At 48.1% G+C, this 17,825-nt stretch overlaps 2 protein-coding genes across 20 annotated transcripts in view, besides 3 other annotated features; both read right to left on the reverse strand.

Moving 5' to 3' along the window:
- Nucleotides 253-8,481, reverse strand: MTMR11 (myotubularin related protein 11). 8 transcript variants are annotated; one of them, XM_047441008.1, is made up of 17 exons: nt 8,184-8,481; nt 7,756-7,831; nt 7,186-7,222; nt 6,901-6,961; nt 6,588-6,730; nt 6,050-6,128; nt 5,793-5,928; nt 5,457-5,544; nt 5,212-5,300; nt 5,008-5,132; nt 3,866-3,932; nt 3,546-3,616; nt 2,862-3,028; nt 2,394-2,567; nt 1,967-2,149; nt 1,225-1,518; nt 253-919 (listed from the first exon to the last, which is right to left on the reverse strand). In XM_047441008.1, the coding sequence occupies exons 2-17, from the start codon at nt 7,764-7,766 to the stop codon at nt 731-733; spliced, it is 1,914 nt and encodes a 637-aa protein (XP_047296964.1). In that variant the 5' UTR covers nt 7,767-7,831; nt 8,184-8,481; the 3' UTR covers nt 253-730. The 8 variants fall into 8 exon arrangements, 7 of the variants coding, with proteins under 7 accessions (XP_047296964.1, NP_001139334.1, NP_870988.2 ...); NM_001145862.2 differs by having other exon boundaries at nt 7,186-7,307; NM_181873.3 differs by lacking the exon at nt 8,184-8,481 and having other exon boundaries at nt 253-503; nt 757-919; nt 7,756-7,975.
- Nucleotides 716-785: an enhancer, noted in NCBI's record as "active region_1666". NCBI's record gives its function as "activates an Ori minimal core promoter by ATAC-STARR-seq in GM12878 lymphoblastoid cells {active_cell/tissue: GM12878}" and the evidence as "EXISTENCE:reporter gene assay evidence [ECO:0000049][PMID:35858748]".
- Nucleotides 7,747-8,271: an enhancer, noted in NCBI's record as "H3K27ac-H3K4me1 hESC enhancer chr1:149908038-149908562 (GRCh37/hg19 assembly coordinates)". NCBI's record gives its function as "activates a minimal SCP1, AML or CMV promoter by ChIP-STARR-seq in naive H9 embryonic stem cells {active_cell/tissue: H9 hESC(naive)}" and the evidence as "EXISTENCE:reporter gene assay evidence [ECO:0000049][PMID:30033119]".
- Nucleotides 8,482-9,413: 932 nt separating the features above from the next.
- Nucleotides 9,414-17,825, reverse strand: part of OTUD7B (OTU deubiquitinase 7B) — a 129,842-nt gene continuing 121,430 nt past the window's right edge. For all 12 annotated transcript variants that reach the window (XM_047425721.1, XM_047425716.1, XM_047425712.1 and 9 more), the window contains one exon: nt 9,414-16,667. In XM_047425721.1, the coding sequence (XP_047281677.1) occupies nt 15,459-16,667 (1,209 nt within the window). In that variant the 3' untranslated portion in view covers nt 9,414-15,458. The remainder of the gene's footprint in view (nt 16,668-17,825) is intronic.
- Nucleotides 10,639-10,698: an enhancer, noted in NCBI's record as "active region_1667". NCBI's record gives its function as "activates an Ori minimal core promoter by ATAC-STARR-seq in GM12878 lymphoblastoid cells {active_cell/tissue: GM12878}" and the evidence as "EXISTENCE:reporter gene assay evidence [ECO:0000049][PMID:35858748]".

Genomic DNA, 17,825 nt, shown 5'->3' on the forward strand with positions numbered 1-17,825 from the left:
GGGATCGGAGCTCTAGAGTCTGGATCTCTAGAACACTCTGGCCCCATCTGCCTCTAAATGGGAGACACACACAAGAGAACCCTTTCCCCAAATTGCACTTGAATTTTGCAGAGCCTCACCAAACCCAGTTCCCCTATTTCCTTAGCAATAATATGGTGGATGCCTTCCTCTCTTGGGTCATACACCCCTTTTACCCACCACTTTCCTACCTAGGAGAATCCTTTATTCAAACACAAGAAACAATGCCAGCAATGTGTATAAATACTATGCTTTAATGAGCCCCTTAAATAGAAATTCCACTACAAAAATACAGAGGAGATAGGGTGTTTCCTGTATCCGCCTCATTCCCATAGAAAACTATAAGGGAAGAAATAGAACTTGGAATTAAAGCAGCAGCAAGGCGAGGTGAGAATGCGATTTCTAGGCCATCTTGTTGGGACTGATGAACAGCATCTCTGATCTCATGATTTAACATCTGGTTATCCAGAAGGGATGGGATTGGCCTAAAAAAACCGATCAATTTCTGGATTGTTTTTGTTTCTTAATCCTTCAAATGACAAGAAGCAAAAATATTTGTAGAAACTAAGCAAGACAAGAGTTGGAGCAGTTAACACCACTATCTGCAGCAGAAACTCAGACCTTCTTAGTGAACTTAAGGGCTGAAGTGTGAAAGCTGAGGCTGCAAGTGCAGATACAAAAAAAAAAAAAAAAGATTAGACAGAACCCTCCTCTACCCCAGATCCCCCTCTGCCCTGCCTTTGAGAATGCCAGCAATTTCAGTGGGATTGAGAATGGTATGTGGATCTCTTTTCTTGGAGTGATCCTCAGGAGATATTCTTGGTGTCCATTTCCGTAATAACTCCTGAAGATGGGATAGCTCATCCTGGAGGCCAGAGATTGTGGGAGCTGAGAGGCCCATCTGGGGAGGAGGCAAAGAGGAACAGAGAAGAATACTGTTGTAGCTCTGGCCCCCTGCTTCTCTGCTACTTCTGGTGTCTTTAATTCTGTTTCCCCTTTCAGCTATGCCCTAAATTCCACTTAATCTAAGCCACAAGCACTTTCCCGCACCTCCTACACTCCCAAACCTTGTTTGATGCCAAGAGGAGTAGAACTTCACTTCCCAGACTCCCAGAGGCTTCAGCTCCTTGCCTTTCCAGCTCCTGTTCATCTGGTTCAGCAGAGTCAAGTCCCTTGTCCCACTCCCAGTCTATTTTCCCTTCTTACCTGGACCTCAGGCCTTCCCCTCAGGTAGCAGCGTCTCCAGAGCCTGATCTGGGGTCCCAGATACCCAGGCAGCAGCAGCCCTGGAGGTAAAGGGCAAGCTCCCCAATGTGAGGGGAGACCCCATTCCTGGTCAGCCAGGCTTTCAGAGGAGATAGCAGGTCGAGGGAGCCAACGAGAAGAGACTGCCAGCAGGGAAGGACTGTCCCGCCAAGGACAGAGCTGATTCAGGGGGGTCAATGCTCCTCTAGAGAAGAGCCACACAGAACTGGGGGGTCCAGGAACCATGAAGCTTGGCTAAAAGGAAAAGAAAATCAACTGGCAACAGAGAGACCAGATAACCCTAGTTTCCCCAATCTGGATCAGGACAGGGTGTCCTGCTGCCACCCACTCACTGCACTGGTGACTAGAACTACAAGCCTCCCCATGAGAACTCTTCTACCCTCCTCATTAGGCTTCAACTAGGCCTCGGGACTGATTAAGGTTGATTTTAGGGCACCTTATGTGTGCACGAGACAGGAAGATGAGTAAACAGACTTGAGGAAGGACAAAAAGGGTGCCCTCTGTGCTATTCTAGGTCTTCTGTCTTCCTAGGGACACCCAGGGACTATAAGTGACAGCTGCAGAAGAGTAGTGGAGTAGCTTTCCCTAAGGAACTCAAGACATTTTGTCTTTCACTTCTCACTGTCTAGTAGCATGAGCCTGTGGGAACGTCAAGGGAATTTAGGAAGTTTAGACACTTCACCTGTGGTCTAGGGAGCCAGGAATCTGGACAGTGTTCTGGGTCATAGCCAGGATTCTGGAATTGTAGTATCTGTGCATTGCTATAACGTAAATCCCAGTCCCAGACAGACAGCTGCAGGTTAAAAGAGTTCCCAGCTGGAGGCTGGGAGTATCCTGGGGTGTAGACTTGTGTATAGGAGTTTAACTGGACAGAGGAAGCAAGAAAAAGGATGGTTACACACAATCCTCCCACATCTAGAGACAAATCATGAGATTCTCACCTCTTATTCTAGGAAAGATGTAGGGCAAAAGTCTCGTCCTGAAAATGAGAATAAATCTCCCCCTCCCCACTCACAGACCTCACTTCTCATAAAACAAATCAAGACCAAACTTCAGAGAGTACATCTCAATGGAAAAAAAAACACGAGTCAAAAATAGAAGTCACTGACCTGTCCGCTCTGCTTTCCGCGCTCCCAGGGGGTATTTCTCAGGAAGGTAAGGGTGTCAGGAACCCTGACACTGTCATGAAGAGCAAGAAGGAAAAACTCAGAGAATTCAAAATCAGCTGGAAACTGCTGGAGGAGCTGCCAGACACAATCAAGGAAGAGGAGAAACACCGGAGCCTGAAAAGAAATTAAGAGGTTGGAAGGGATTATTGGGACCCAAAGAGGGAGGATGACGAGATGATAAGGGAATGGGGAACACAGGGAATAGGGGGAACTTATGGAAGTCAGGGAATGAAAATCTGAATTGAGGGTAGCAGGGGCTTGTAAGGCCTCACTCATCAGGATCTTCGTCCCAGCCTAACCTCGGGGCCCTTCTGACCGGATTCACCTCCAATGGATTATACAAAATAATTTCTCATTCTCTTACTTCCTTAGTAATATGCCCCCGATGCCATCCCGAATCATTCTCACCTCTTCACTGGCCCCAGTTCCCCCAAGCCGAGTCAGGAAGGGATGTCCAGCTGCCACCCACTCTCGCTGTACTAGTGATTGGAAGCCAAACAGTGTTCGGGCTTCGGGGGCTGAAAGCAGCTGGACGAGTGAAGAGAGGAGGCCATTGAGATCACGATCACCGCGCTCTGGGTGATAAAGAGGAAGAAGGGACAAAGAAGAGGGGTCCAAGAAACTAGGGCAGAAGAGAATGAGAAGAGAAATACGGCAAGGAGAAGTGAGAGGCACAGAGGGGAAAGGTTTGGGGTAGGAGGATTGAGAAAGCACATAGAAGTGAAGAGAAAACAAAGACCTTGAATGATTCACTTCCTGGACTCCACCCGGATAGAAATACCCAGTTTCACATGTAAGGGGCAGAATCACAATTCTCAAACCAGCTTCCACACTGCCCTTCCCACCCCAACCCCAGTCTCCATCCGCTGATGGAAGGAAAGGAACAAAGGGGCTAAGACCATCCTAGTGTCAGGGACCACAAGTTGTGATGGGGAGGCAGAGGTAGCACTGAAGGATGAGAGTAGAGCTCGCAGGTAGTTCCCAGGAACAGGAGAGGAAGAAGCCTTATGGGTCTCCCTCCCTGAATGCAATCTGGTCAGGTGGGTAAAGAAAAGAGGCAAGGAATGGAATGGGCTTAACCAAGGAACTCACCTTGAAGTATTACAGAACGAACCCTGGATGTCACTAATACTGAAATGTCACTGGCCTTTCGAAGACAAGCCCTGGAGGAGCAGGTGAGGAAGAGGGAGGAAGAATGATAAGCCTAGGGGAATGGAGTGATTTTGATGGGTCATGGGATGGAATAAGGCCGACTCCAAATCCTACCCCTCCTCCTTCTAAAGAGCAGAAAATGGCAGTCTTCTTGGGAAACCGAGGAGAAGAACTAAAGAAAGGCCATTTAGGACCCCAAGTTAACAGAAGGTTGAGGAAGGTTGAATTATAAATGATGGCTAGAAGAAGCGAGGGAGTACCTGACATAGTCCAGCCATCGTGTTCCTTCCAGGGCTGAAAGCCATTTATCCTCAGCTACAGATGAATCTGATAGAGGGTAGAAAGATCAGAAGGGCAAGAGATTAGAACTCAGGATTCAGGATTCAGGTTGATAGCCTGCTGGGTTAAGAACAGGAATGAAAAGTAATTGTAAATGGCCAGGATGGTTTCTAAAATTAAACTGTGGTGATGGTTGTACAACATTGTAAATATAATAAAACTCACTGAATTGTATACTTCAGTGAAGGGTAAATTTTATGGTATGTACATTATGTCTCAATAAAGCTGTTTAAAGAATAAATTGGGGTCAAGAAGACAGGAAACCAGTGAGTCTGTGGGAGAGGTGGGAGAGGTGGGAGGTGAGTAGAAAACAGTCTCACTGGCCGGGCACGACGGCTTGTGCCTGTAATCCCAGCGCTTTAGGAGGCCTTGGTGGGTGGATCATCTGAGGAGTTTGAGACCAGCCTAGTCTAACACGGGGAACATGGTGAAACCTCGTCTCTACTAAAAATACAAAAATTAGCCAGGCATGGTGGCAGGCGCCTGTAATCCCAGCTACTCAGGAGGCTGAGGCAGGAGAATCGCTTGAACATGGGAGTTGGAGGTTGCAGTGAGCCGAGATCACGCCACTGCACTCCAGCCTGGGCCACAGAGGGAGACTCCGTCTCATCTGCCTTTTTTTTTTTTTTTAAGACAAGTTTCACTCTTGTCGCCCAGGCTGGAATGCAATGGCACATTCTCAGTTCACCCGCCTCCTGGGTTCAAGCGATTCTTGTGCCTCAGCCTTCCAAGTAGCTGGGATTACAGGCATCGGCCACCACACCCAGCTAATTTTGTGTGTGTGTGTATTTTTAGTAGAAACGGGGTTTCACCATGTTGGCCAGGTTGGTCTTGAACTCCTGCCCTCAAGTGATCTGCCCACCTCGGCCTCCCATAGTGGTGGGATTACAAGCGTGAGCCACCATGCCCAGCCGAGACTCCGTCTCAAGAAAAAAGAAAAGAAAAGAAAACGGGCTCATTGGACTAAAGAGCTACTCATCTACAGCAAGCAAAGGGTAAACCAGGTTAGGCTCAGCAGACCTAGGGGTGAGGGTGAGGGTTAGGGGTCAAAGGTTATTCTCACCAGGCAGGCAGAGGGCCCTCAGCCTCAGGTGGGCAAGTTGGACATCTGCAAGGCTGGGCAGCTCATCCATAGTGTCTACCAGGACAACATCTGAATGCCCAGCCTGGAGCATCAACTCCACTGCTCTGGAGGGGAGGGAGTCAGGAAATAAGGAGTCTACCCTGAGCACCTAACCCTTGATTCTTCTCATCAAGCCTCCCTCACCTGATATCCTCCTTGTTAGGGTCACTGGCTGTATAGAAGCCTCCACAGCGGAGAAGATCACTGCCCCCAGGGTGATGCCAGGACAAGCGCTTCACATGGGGCAGAAGAGGGTCATTGTGGGAGAAATGCCTAGCTCCACGCTACCCTTGCCCCCACACTGACCTCACAGAGGTTCCTCCCTCCACGATGTCCCTGGCCCACATGACCCTCTAATCCACAGCCATTACCCTAACCATCACACTGACCGGTCCACGGCCCTGATGAAAGTGGCCAAATGCTCTCCTGACCTCACTGTCCAGAATTCGGTTAGGGACCCAGAAGTAACGGGGGAGGCTGTGAAATGAGAGTGATATTACAGTTTGGCTCAGTGACTTCATTATAATGGAAAGCTCTTATTACAAGGAAGCTGCTTCAGAGGGACCATTCCAAGGGATTTCAGGTTTAGGGATCTAGGAGGCAAGGGAGATAGCTTTGTGGGTGTCCTAGGAGGCTGGAGTTTGTGGGAAGTCCTAGCTTTAGAGGATCAAGGAACTAAGGGAAGATTGGGAGAGCAGCAGGGTTGGGGTGCACTGGGGGATCACCTGGTGGCTACGTCGAACCTCTCGTTGACCGTGCTGACCCTCCAGCCTCTGGCTGCCTGCTTCTTCCGCTCAGTCTCCCAGTCTTCCGCTGTCTCCATGAGAGGAATTGGTGGTTTTCTGGAGCCAGAACCCTGGCCTAGAACAGGAGTGAGACATAGAGGAGGAAGGAGAAAATCAGAGACAGCTTCTCAGCTCTTTGTCATCAGCCATCCTCTGCTTTTTCAGACTCTTCCTTACCCTAAAGCACTCTCACTCACCAGCCTTGCTCAGGGTTATCCCCGAATACTGTTGGGCTTGATTGCTCTGAGCTCTGGCTTGGACAATGGCCATGGTCACCTGCAGAGGAAAGGACATTCCATCCTTTTGGCTTAGGCTGAGTAAGTGAAAAGAAGGAAATGGAGCCCATGTGTTGCTCCACTCTCTTTGCCAAGAATGAAGAAGAACAGTGAAGACAGTCCCTAGAGAAGGGGGCTTCCTCAGGTCATGGGGACTGGGGTCGGGAGAACAAATCTGGAACCACAGAATCCTAGAATGATGATTCTGGGAGGAATCCTGGTTTTTCAGAGGAGGAAACTTGCCCACAGTCACACTGCTGGTAATTAATAGAGTAAGGCTAGAGCGCAGGCTCTTTACTCTCATCACGCAATCATTTATCCCAGCCTTTTAGCCTTTCCTTGAGAGAAGCAGGGGGAATGATGAGAGGATCCCAGGGGCTGGAGGAGTCTCAGAAATTGTCAGGGAGAGGATCCCAAGGTTCTGAGGTGAGGAGAAAGCCTCAGGTTAGGGGCCTCTTACCTGAAAAGCCTGAGGCTCTAGGCCTCCAGCCTCAAAACCAACTCTGAGCAGCCGGAAGTCTCGGCCATGAATCAGAATCTCCTCAGGGATAAATTTATGCAGGGACCCTGGACGGAGGAGCTGGACTCGGGACAAGCCGCTCACTGAAGTCAAGAGGTACAGAACAGTGTAACCATGGACCAGAGTCTCTCCAGAAGGGACTCTTGCAGCCCATCCCACTCCATCCCTGCTGTTTTCTGAGAACAGAGGAAGGATGAGGAGGGAGTTCCAACAACCCCAGTGAACCCCTTCACCAAACCCCCCCCCAACTTACCAGCCTCTAATCGTCCAATGTTGACCAGGGCAAAATCGTATTCACTGTTCAAGGGAGTGTCCTAGACGAAACACGTGACTGGGTAGACATCTGAAATCGCCCTCATTTTCCTACCCTGGCAGCCCCAACCCCTTCTAGGGGGCAACAACCCTAGAGAGAGTTCCCACTGATTATCAATGATACATTCAAAAGACAGCCCTTAACCCATAATGTTTGTCTAAATCCTGCTAGACTCCCCTACCCATTTCCCACTAGCTGTCATTTCTGTGGCCCCAACCATCTCACCTGATTCCACTGCCATCCACAGGGCTGGAAGGTGACCCTAAAGTTGGTACAGATCAGGGTTCCAGACAATTCTGGTTCCAGGCCCTTCCTCACCCCTGGGGCCCATGCTAGGATCTGCTCCCCTAAAGGGGAAGAAGGGAAGCCCTGTTATGACTGTTCCCAGTGTTGCCCACACTTGGATACACCCACCCCTCCAAGAAAGGGAGATCTAAATAGGGAAGATTAAAATCCTCCCCAAAGCCCACTACAATGTAAGCTTATGAGGAAAGATAAATGTTTTTTAATTTCTGTAACTAGAACAGAGCCTAGAACAAGGCCTGGCACATAGCAGGCACTAACTATGTATCGAATAAGTAAATTTGAAAAGGGGTAACAGGGTCAAGGAAACAGAAGGAATGTCAAGGTCCAGCTCTCAGCCAGCTCTAGAGGCTGTCAGGGAGGACAGCGAGCCTCAGGCAGACGTACTTCGAGCCACGAGAGGAACACAGGGGTATCTTTGGTGAGGGCATGAAACAAGATTGGCGTAGGATGAAATTTGGAAGTCTTTGGAGAGTGATAGGGCATTATTACCTGGGAGGCATCTGGAGGCCAGGCAACTGCTAGGCTGACGACTCCTGGGCTCCGGCATCCTATTTTCCTGGACAGACTTTGGTCCAGAGGGTTGAGGGGGGTCTAGAGTTAACCCCTAGGCTCCCCAACTCCCCAGAGGCAGCTGCCTGTAGAGGCCTACACTCACACTCTCGGGGGAAACTGAGATCAGTGTCTGTGGGGAGCTCCAGACCTAACAGGGCTGGTAAACAGTAAAGGGAGGGGCTGGTTAATGGATAATGAGACAACGAACTTGAGACTGAGAAAGACGGACCAGGCTCCATCAGCAGAAGCTGATAGACAGACACACCCTCCTCCTCCTCCTCTAGAGCCTTTGCTTCCCCCTTTTATCTCCACCTCATCCCCGTTCTCACCCTCTTGCCGACACCCCCCAAATTCCTTCTCCTTACCCCCATCTCTGGCTCCTCCTTCTGGGGGGCAATGTTGAAACTCTGGCCCCGGCCCCCCCACCACATTTCTCTGGCTCCATCCGGGGACACAGCAGTTAAGGGTGGGAAACCTCAAGGATGCTCACCCACCTCGGGGAGAGGCTGAGTCTTGTTGAGAAGAGGGGTGTTAGGGAGAGGGGTAGGGGGTTGGACACAAGGGAAAGGAGCATTTGACGTGCACGGAGCAGAGTTTGGGGGTCCTTGGAAAGGTGTGTCCAGCCCAGCCTGAGAAGTCTCCTCGGAAACTTCAGTCGACTCTGGAGAGGGCGGGAGAGATGCCCAACCCCTTAAAGGAGAATACACACAATTCTGGAAAAGTGGAGAGGAAACGGTGGAGTCTGAGACGGACGGGTGGGGAAGAAATGGGGACTGAGAGAAAAACGACTCCCTTCTTTACCCCAATCCCAGACCCTGTTCTCTTCCTGTTCATGAGTACTGGAGACCGTTTGAGGGGAGCAGTTCTATTGATTATGAAGCTGGAATCATCTGGGCTACCTGTCTGGAGTGTCTCAGTGATGACTTCCCTTAAAAGCTCCGTTCTTTTGTCTTCTCAAAGGGGTTTGGGGCGGGGAGAGGGGTAGGAATGTGAAAGTGGTTCAAGCCTCCTTGCCGCCTCTTCCAGAAGAAAATGAAAATTAGACCTGGGGGGATTTTTGTCAGCAGAGGCCCAAGAATTAGGTGAGGAAGCAGGGAAACTGGTTAAAGTGGTTTTGCATATCTTTCTCTAGAGGGCATGACACAGACATCATGTGAAGACTGCAGTGGAGAAGTATAAAAAGAGATGGAAATGTGTCCAAGATGCAGACACAAGTACAGTTTGTGTGCAAGTCTTGGGGATGTGGGTGGGACAAAAAGATCTTACCAGTTAATCTTGCCCATCACGTAGATACACAACCAATAGGCAATAAGTGCCCATTCCCGTATGTGACTCCACCCCTCCAACCCAGACACCAGATCTCCAAATGAATGATTCATGTTCAGGACTTTCACAGGTGAGGGCTGGAAACCTCTCTTCAGCTCAGCAGTCCATCCCCCGTCCCTCCCATCTGCAACCCTAGAAGCAAAGATGGGTAAGGAAAGCTGGGAACAAGGAGAGAAGGAGCTGCAGCTCCTTTAAAGGAGGGGGACTTGGGGACAGCAAAGCAAAAATCTTTATTTAGACATGAAAAAGACAGAAAATAAAATACAAAATAAGAGTTAATGAGCTGCTGTTTTATTGCTTTTGAATCTACAGAGGCAGCAATCCTTAGATGGGGGCCCCAGTTTTCCAAAGTGACACTCAATTTTCCCCTCCCCCCAGTACACCACCCTTCTGGCCTCAGCTTTCAGTTTCCTGTCTTGGCTGCAACTGTGGAAATAGTGAAGATATTGTGAGACAGAAAGTCAGTCTGGAACAAAGAGGTATACACCTGCTAAGAAGGTGGCCCAGAAGCCTGATTCTAGAAGTCCTAAAGGCTACAGAGCACCACCACCCCACCTGCCCCTAATGCATTCCATGGGCCTCAACCTCTTGGGGGAAGAAAATATTTCCCAAGGTCTGTTGTAAAAAGAAAATAGGGACCAGGCGCAGTGGCTCACGCCTGTAATCCCAAGCATTTTGGAAGGCCAAGGCAGGCAGATTACTTGAGGTCAGGAGTTCAGGACCACCTGGCCAACATGATGAAGCCCCATCTCTACTGAAAATACAAAAATTAGCCAGGCGTGGTGGCTCACACCTATAATCCCAGCTACTTGGGAGGCTGAGGCAGGAGAATCGCTTGAACCCAGGAAGCAGAGGTTGCAGTGAGCCAAGATCTAATGACTACGCTCCAGCCTGGGCAACAGAGCAAGACTCCATCGCAAAAAAAAAAAAAAAAAAAAAGACATAGGAAGAGGTGTGTACCATAACTTTTAAATCCCATTATCCACTTTCCTTCTCACCACCATCCTTCATTCAAGAGCCTCATTCTATTCTTTAGCACTTTGAGGTGTGGAGACAGTGGAGGAACACGGAGAAAAAAAATCGGGGGGTAGGGGTGTGGTGGCTCATGCCTGTAATCCCAGCACTTTGGAAGGCTGAGGTGGGTGGATCACGGATCACCTGAGGTTAGGAATTCAAGACCAGCCTGGCCAACATGGCGAAACCCCCGACTCTAACTAAAAAAAAAAAAAAAAAAAAAAATTAAGCCAGGCATGGTGGTAGGCTCCTGTAATCCCAGCTACTCGGGAGCCTGAGGCAGGAGAATCGCTTGAACCCAGGAGACGAAGGTTGCAGTGAGCCGGGATCGCGCCATTGCACTCCATCCTGGGCGACAAGAGCGAAACTCTGTCTCAAAAAAAAAAAAAAAAAAAAGCGGGGTGGGGGGAAATCAGGAGGAGAAAAGAATTGGGCGATTTGGATCAATACTTAACCAGGAATGGAGTGGGCAGGAGCTGAGGGTTAAGGCTGCCTCTCACCACCCCACACACCCCCAGTAGAAGCACTAGATGAAGGGAAGGGTGGAGAGGCAAGGGGCTATATCAGATTTTTCCATTTTCAGAATCCTGTTCTGGCTGCAGGTTTGTGCCAGGAGTAAAGGCTGCTGGGAGGGGCAGCCGGAGGAGGGAGGTGGAGCTGAGTGACTCACAAGATGAGTCACAGATCCAGTTATAAGCACAGAAAGAGGCCAAGGTCCTTCCCACCCCTACTCCTCTTAACTGCTGCCAGCCAGCTTCCGTTGCTCTTTTGTACTGCCCCTTACCCACTTGGCCAATGCAAGAGATGGCACAGAGAAAGTCTACATGGGGACATCGTAATATTTTGTTACCCAACTGATGTATGGTGGCAAAATACCCTGTGATTTGCAGACTGGCTGTCTGCAAAGTAGAAGAGACAGAATGCCTGCATGACTCATCCAGATCTATAGTTGAAAGGCCTGGAGGGAAAGAAGGAAATTAGAAAAATCTGGAGTGCAGGTGATTCCAGGCCGGGAAGGGGCTTCTAATTCTGTCTTCTCACCTGTGGCTATATGTCTGGGGCACTGACTCATTGGAGAAGGAAGACACAGAGGCCAGTCGCGGTGGCTCATGCCTGTAATCCCAGCACTTTGGGAGGCCGAGGCTGGCGGATCACCTGAGGTCAGGAGTTCAAGATCAGCCTGGCCAACATGGTGAAACCCCATCTCTACTAAAATACAAAAATTAGCCGGGCATGATTGCGGGTGCCTGTAATCCCAGCCACCTGGGAGGCTGAGACAGGAGAATCACTTGAACCCAGGAGACGGTGGTTGGAGTGAGCCGAGATTGCACCACTGCACTCCAGCCTGGGCAGCTGAGCGAGACTCCGTCTCAAACCAAAAAAAAAAGAAAGAAAGAAAAAGGAAAAAGAAAGAAGACTCAGAGTCCAGAGGTGTCTGAGTAATTCAGAGACAATCATCTCTGAAATACTCTTTATTGAGAAAAAAAAATGTGACTGGAACCTTGGACACATGGCTAAAAGGAGTTAAGAATGGCAAAAGCTAGGTTCTCAGAACACATTCAAAACCAGCTTTATTCTTTTGGGCTCAGTATCACCCCGCAGATATACAACACGAAGTCACTGCTAATTCTTGTTTGTCTGTGGGCCTTAGTTTCGCTTGATAGAAAAAAAAAAACTGAGCTAATAGAGGGAAGGTACTTCCCTTCCACTGCCCTCTACAGCACTGAGTTTAACACCATCTCCACTCCTTAAAAAGACTGAATCTTTAAAAAATCTTTGGATATAATCTTTTTATTTTGTTGATAAAAACCAGTATGGAGGAAAAACTTCTGGTTAAATCTTGTAACTTTCAATAAATGCAGCATAGGTTAAGGGAGAAGCGGAGGCCTATCCTACAGTAATACTTACTCCATTGGAGATGGGGCAGAGAGCACAGCAGGGAGGGAGTAGCACTGTCTAACATCAAAAAGGGAAAAACAAGAACCCTGAAAATCTCCCCTCTCCATTAAAAACTTCAGTAGGTACCCCAGTTGCCCTGGATTAAAGGAACTAAGTGCACTTAAATTTAAGCCTGAGAGATGATATCATCCCTCACTTGGGGTTAAAGGGTCTACCTTCCCCCTTCACTCACACACCCCTCCTTAACTAAGGAATTTTTCTGCCCATTTCGAGTGCAGGCCATATGCCCCTTCTTTCCTTCTCCCCAACCCAGTAACGACATGGGCTTGCCTCTTCTATTCCCTCATCTTCCCAAAATACCACAAACCAAGCTGAATCTATATTAATTTCCCAGGCATTATTCCTTCACCTCCCCCCATCCCACCAAGACCCTCCCCGAAAGAATGAAGCAAAACAAACTTCACTATCTCCTATAAAAAATATCCATTGTCTCAGGGTCTCTCATCCTTAGAATGGAGAGGTTTTTCAATGCCTCAATAAATAGTTACCCTCCCAAATAAAAAAAATAATTTATTTCTTAATAAAAAGCTATAAGGCCTAAAGCCCCATTTTACCATATTCACCCCTAGACCACCCCTCAAAATTTCCATCTTTTTTTATTTGAAAATAAAGCAAACGGAATTGGGATTGGCTAACTTATAAATAAAAACAAACATGATACAAGGTTTTTTGTTCATTTGTCCTTAGTTTTTAAAAACAAAAGTGTTAACTAGAATCTAACAACAGATCAAATCCAAACACAGCAGTCCAGTGGAGAATCAAAACTTTTCCGGCTTTATTCTCTGGGAAAACCCCTGGTCTGTTTTCATTCCTATTGGTCCAGGCCACCATTCTATGATATGAAGGCCTAAATTAGGAAAGCTAGGTGAGCTGTGCAAATTCAGGGTGTCTGAGCCACCTGTTGTTTGGTGTGTGATGGGGGTGGAGGCGCACACAGTGGTGTTCTCGCTAGTGTTCAAATCACAGAAACAGGGACGTAACTAGGGTGAGGTGAGCAAAGCACTCACCTTGGGCACAAAATTTAAGGAGTGCCAAAAAACCCAGTAACCAAGATAAATACTATTTTAATGCAACATTTTTAAAAAATCACAATTAATGTAAAAAGTCTATGATGGACAATGTATCAAAAATTTAAATAAGAAGGATTCATCCCCATACTTATTCAATTCAGCCTCACTTCCCTCCTCCTAATCTCAGTCCTGTCAGATCCTGTAAGATTTCGCTATTTTATCCAACATAAATTTTTTGCATTAATTTTTTTAAATACTGCATTTTTTATAGTATCTTGATTAATGAGTTTTATAGTAACCCTTAAATTTTGCAACTTAGGGGAGTGCTCATCTCATACCAGGTTCCAGACCTGCCTAGACATATACACATCCCTTCCTTTGGAATCTCACTGCTTCCTTAACACAAATCTATTTTCAAAGAAAACCCTAAGAATTAATAGCCATAGGAAATTATTAAATCAGATTTGGAAAATAGGTGACTTCTGAGTTTGTTGAGGAGAAAATAACCTTTATAAACCGTGAGCATTTCCAACAAGGACAATCTTGACTGGCTACCGAGGAGGAAAACACACACACATATGCACGCACGCACATGCATGCACGCTCAAGTGCTTTAGATCAAATGTGGGGATTACGTTCCAAGGGATGGGTTATGAGTACATACCTCAAAAGAGAAATCCAAACACAGAAAAACAGCCCCAGTTAATACTCTGGACACATAAGTACACTTATTCCCCTTCTTCACATGCACCCGGGAGTGTATACAATTGCATAGTTGACTTTTTTTCCCGGAAAAAAATATAAAGAAAAAGGAAAATTGGCCCAGGATAGGTCTTCCGGTTTAAAGCTCTTAGAAATGGCTCTGGCCAGAGCATAGGCTGTTCAGACTTGTGCTTTGTGCAAAATGCGAAGGAGCTCCCCCTACTGTGTCCGCATCCCCACTCCCAGCCCCTAGAGAACAGGGAAGGGTCAGGGAAAGGGAGAAACCTAAAGACAGATCAGCTCATTGGGAGTCATCTGTGCTCTGTGGTTATAGTTCACTAAAATATATTTCTCTAACTACCTTTTTATAAATTGCCCCTATATGTTTCAACATCAGTCCTAATATCAAAAATATCTCTTCTTAGAAAGTATTTTTAATTATTTTAATAAACTAACCACAGATTAAGGTCAGCTATGGCTTAACAAAAGAAGCCGGGATGTTAAGTTCATTCTCCAAAAGTAGAGCAAAGGGAGAAAGAACCACTTAAGTAGGAGGAAAAAAAATCATTTTTTAAATGTTTTTGCTTGCTGGGGTCTTTTTATTTCTTTTCCTTAAAAAAAAAAGTCAATAAAATAAGTTGCTTTCTACAGAAACGCAGCAGCCACAGAGGCCTGTAATGCTCTACTTAGGTTTTTGGTTTTGTTTGAAACAGCCTCTGGCTAAAATGTCTGTCCTCCCACCCCTCCCAAGGTGCACTCAAACCCCAACGTATGGTTATTGCTGTGGTTAAAAAATAGATCAGCTCTGCCCCAATTCACCTGGAGAAAATGCAACACACATGACGGCTGTTCTCACCACACTCTTCCCTTTAAACAAATACAATTAAAGACTTAGATGAGGAAAAGACAGGGGGTAATCAGCAATCTCTTCTCAAACTGTAACAGATGACATATGACTGCTTGGAAGGAAATAAACCTTAAGAGGAAAAGGATTTCCCTCTTAAGTTCCTCCCTTTCCCATCTAAACAAACGGATTTAAACTACCCCCACCTCCTAACAGGCACCCATGAGGACACATTACTGCCTTGTCTTTCCAGATCCTTCAAGGGGAAGAATTTATCCAACCTTAATTTCTAGCTTAATTCAAATCAATAGCAAATGTGTCCAATTTCCCACTTCCCCTCCACACTTCTCACTCCACCATGTGCTTTTTCCCAACCTAAAGAACTTTGGTTTTATTGACTGAGAACCTCCTTTGCCCATTCCTCCCCAAGACTTCTGCCCACCTCCCACCCCCACACACCAAACCTTCCCCTGCTACTTTCTCTTAGGTCCCTGGATGGGACCCAGGAGGTTATAAGACAGAATCGCCATCTTTTCCCCTTGTACCTCAAACCTCATCAAGTCAAGCTCTGCAGAGGAATAGTACAGCCCCTGAGGTGCCATCCAGCCCCGACCTGCTCTTGCCAGCCTGGCAGCACTCCTGTGTGCACACACTTAAAAGTTTCCAGCCAGGCTCCCACAAACATTACTGCATTTTCCCCCTCAACATGGGGACTGTGTTCTTGATGAGCCAATTAGTTGAGCTTAACTTTGTTTAGCCTCCTTGCCCTTCAGTGTTCCACCCGTTCAGAACCTGTGCACCAGGAGCTCCCCATCCGGTTCCCGCTCCCTCCTCCTCAGTTCTTCCCTGTAACAACAGGAACAGAAGTTGTTTGTCTCAGGGTGTCCATAGAAGCTGCAGTTCGGTTGTTTGCATTTGGTCTGAGTTGGGGGAAGGCCCCGGAGACCTCCAGCCCATCCATCTGGCTCAGGGGGCTCTCTGTAGCCATTGCTATAGGAATCAGCCACTCGGTAGGGGGGTGGTAACAAGGCACCCCTGTGAAGTCCATCCTTAGAGTGGCTGCCTGGCTCCAGAGAAGGGATGCTGTCCTGGTGGGGGTAGGGTCGCCCAGGAGGGCACTGTCTGGGGAAGGTGGCATATGGTGGTAGGCCCCCGACACATGGACCCCCTGCCAACTGCCTCCGGGGTTCCTGGCAGTGGACTCCGCCCCCAGACGGCCGAGGGATAGTAAAGTCCCCAGGGTAGCCAGTGGAAAATGCCATTGCCCTGGACTCTGCTGGGGGACCGGTCGGCTGCTCTTCCCTAGCATCTGGCTCTGGCTTTTTGGCTGGAGGAGGGCCACCCCCTATTCCTCCATTCATGATCTTCCTCTCTGCCTCCTTCTGCTTCTGTTCTGCCAGGAATCTCTCCTCAGCATCAGAAAGGTAGCGCTGGATCATTTCCTCCTGATACTGGTGACGGTGACCCATCTTCAGGGTTCCAACAAAAATAAACTTCCCCTCCCCTTGCATGGCAGTCCTCAGAATGCTCAGGCTCTGCATCACCTCCTGGCTATACTTGCTCCCTCCGTTACCAACAGACTCAGCTGGGGGCTTCTCAGACACAGGCCCATCCCCAGCTGCCTCCTCCTTGCCACCCTTCCAGCTCTTCAGTGAGTTTTTCTTCTTCTTCTCCAGTGTCTCAGTGCCGCTGCTTCCTCCCAACCCTGTCCCCACCCCTCCAGGCTTTGAACCCTTGCTGTGCATCAGGCCCCCCATGTTCTTCTTGAGCTTGCTGCCCAAGGTTTTGCCAAAGCTGCCCAGTTTGTTAGCCACAGAATCTGCTCTCTTCTTGTCCTTCTCCCGATCTCGCTTTGACTTCTCCTTCCGCCGGCCGCCCTCGTTGCTGGTGGAACTGCTGCCAACTGACTCCTTGTCTGAGTCTCCAGACTCAGGAGTGGACCGGGGCTCATCTCCAGCTGAGGCGGTGGGGGACTCAGGCTGGGCCAGAGGAGCCTGGAAGAGACAAGAACACTGTTGACAGTTATCCCAGCAGCCTGGGGTGGGGGAATCCCCCAGGGACCTCTAGCCCATCCATCTGGCTCAGGGAGCTCCCTGCAGCCATGGCTATAGAAATTAGCCAGGTAGAAAAGGATGGACACCTATGAACTCCGTCCTCTGAGTGATTGCCTAGTGACTGCCTTGCTCCAGAGAAGGGCTTCTGTCATGATGAGGGAAGGGTCACCCAGGATGGCACTGTCCTTCCTGGGTTCCAGTCAGTCAGCTTTCTCCCCCACTGCAATCTGACTCCCTTCTGTAATAAGGAGATAGTAGAATAAAGCCTTACTGTTCATTTAGAACAATGAGCAACCATATGATACGTGGCTTCCGGGTGAGAGGCCCAGACATTAGAATGTTCTTTATTATACATTTCTCTATGCCAAATTCTGCTCGAAACTAATCTCAAGAAAGTCTTGACTAATCAAAACTAACCAAGTCTAGCCACTTTGCATCCCCTCAACTTTTATACATTCTGCATTGGAGTTATCAATTTGACCCTACTCCTGTGCTCCTGTTCTAACTCAGAGCCCACTGAATTAGGAGCTCTTTAAGCTACTCCGTCTCCTAGTGCCCAAAACAGAGGTCTATCTACAGAAGACTTTGGACGAAATAATGATCATCTCAAGTTCAACAAACAGTCCAGAAAACCTTTCTTAAAGAATATGTTAAGCCAGGCACGGTGGCTCATGCCTGTAATCCCAGCACTTTGGGAGGCCGAGGTGGGTGGATCACCTGAGGTCGGGAGTTCCAGACCAGCCTGACCAACATGGAGAAACCCCATCTCTACTAAAAATACAAAATTAGCCGGACGTGGTGGTGCATGTCTGTAATCCCAGCTACTCAGGAGGCTGAGGCAGGAGAATCGCTTGAACCCAGGAGGCGGAGGTTGCAATAAGCTGAGATCGCACCATTGCACTCCAGCCTGGGCAAAAAGAGTGAAACTCCATCTCAAAGAAAAATAATAATAATAATAATAATATGTTTTAGGTCAGGCGCGGTGGCTCACGCCTGTAATCCCAGCACTTTCGGGGGCCAAGGCAGGCGGATCACAAGACCAGCCTGGCCAACATGGCGAAACCCCATCTCTACTAAAAATAGAAAAATTAGCTGGAC

Source organism: Homo sapiens, chromosome 1, assembly GCF_000001405.40.
Source record: "Homo sapiens chromosome 1, GRCh38.p14 Primary Assembly".
In the NCBI taxonomy this organism is placed as follows: domain Eukaryota; kingdom Metazoa; phylum Chordata; class Mammalia; order Primates; family Hominidae; genus Homo; species Homo sapiens.

Excerpts from the sequence above, each read along its gene's own strand:
- MTMR11 (NM_001145862.2), bottom strand. The coding sequence starts at position 8,249 with ATGTGGTGGGGGGGCCGGGGCCAGAGTTTCAACATTGCCCCCCAGAAG. Across the intron at positions 5,133-5,211 it reads CCTAACAAGGAGGATATCAG|AGCAGTGGAGTTGATGCTCC; the intron begins GTGAGGGAGGCT and ends CCTCCCCTCCAG. Across the intron at positions 3,933-5,007 it reads GAGGGCCCTCTGCCTGCCTG|ATTCATCTGTAGCTGAGGAT; the intron begins GTGAGAATAACC and ends ACCCTCTATCAG.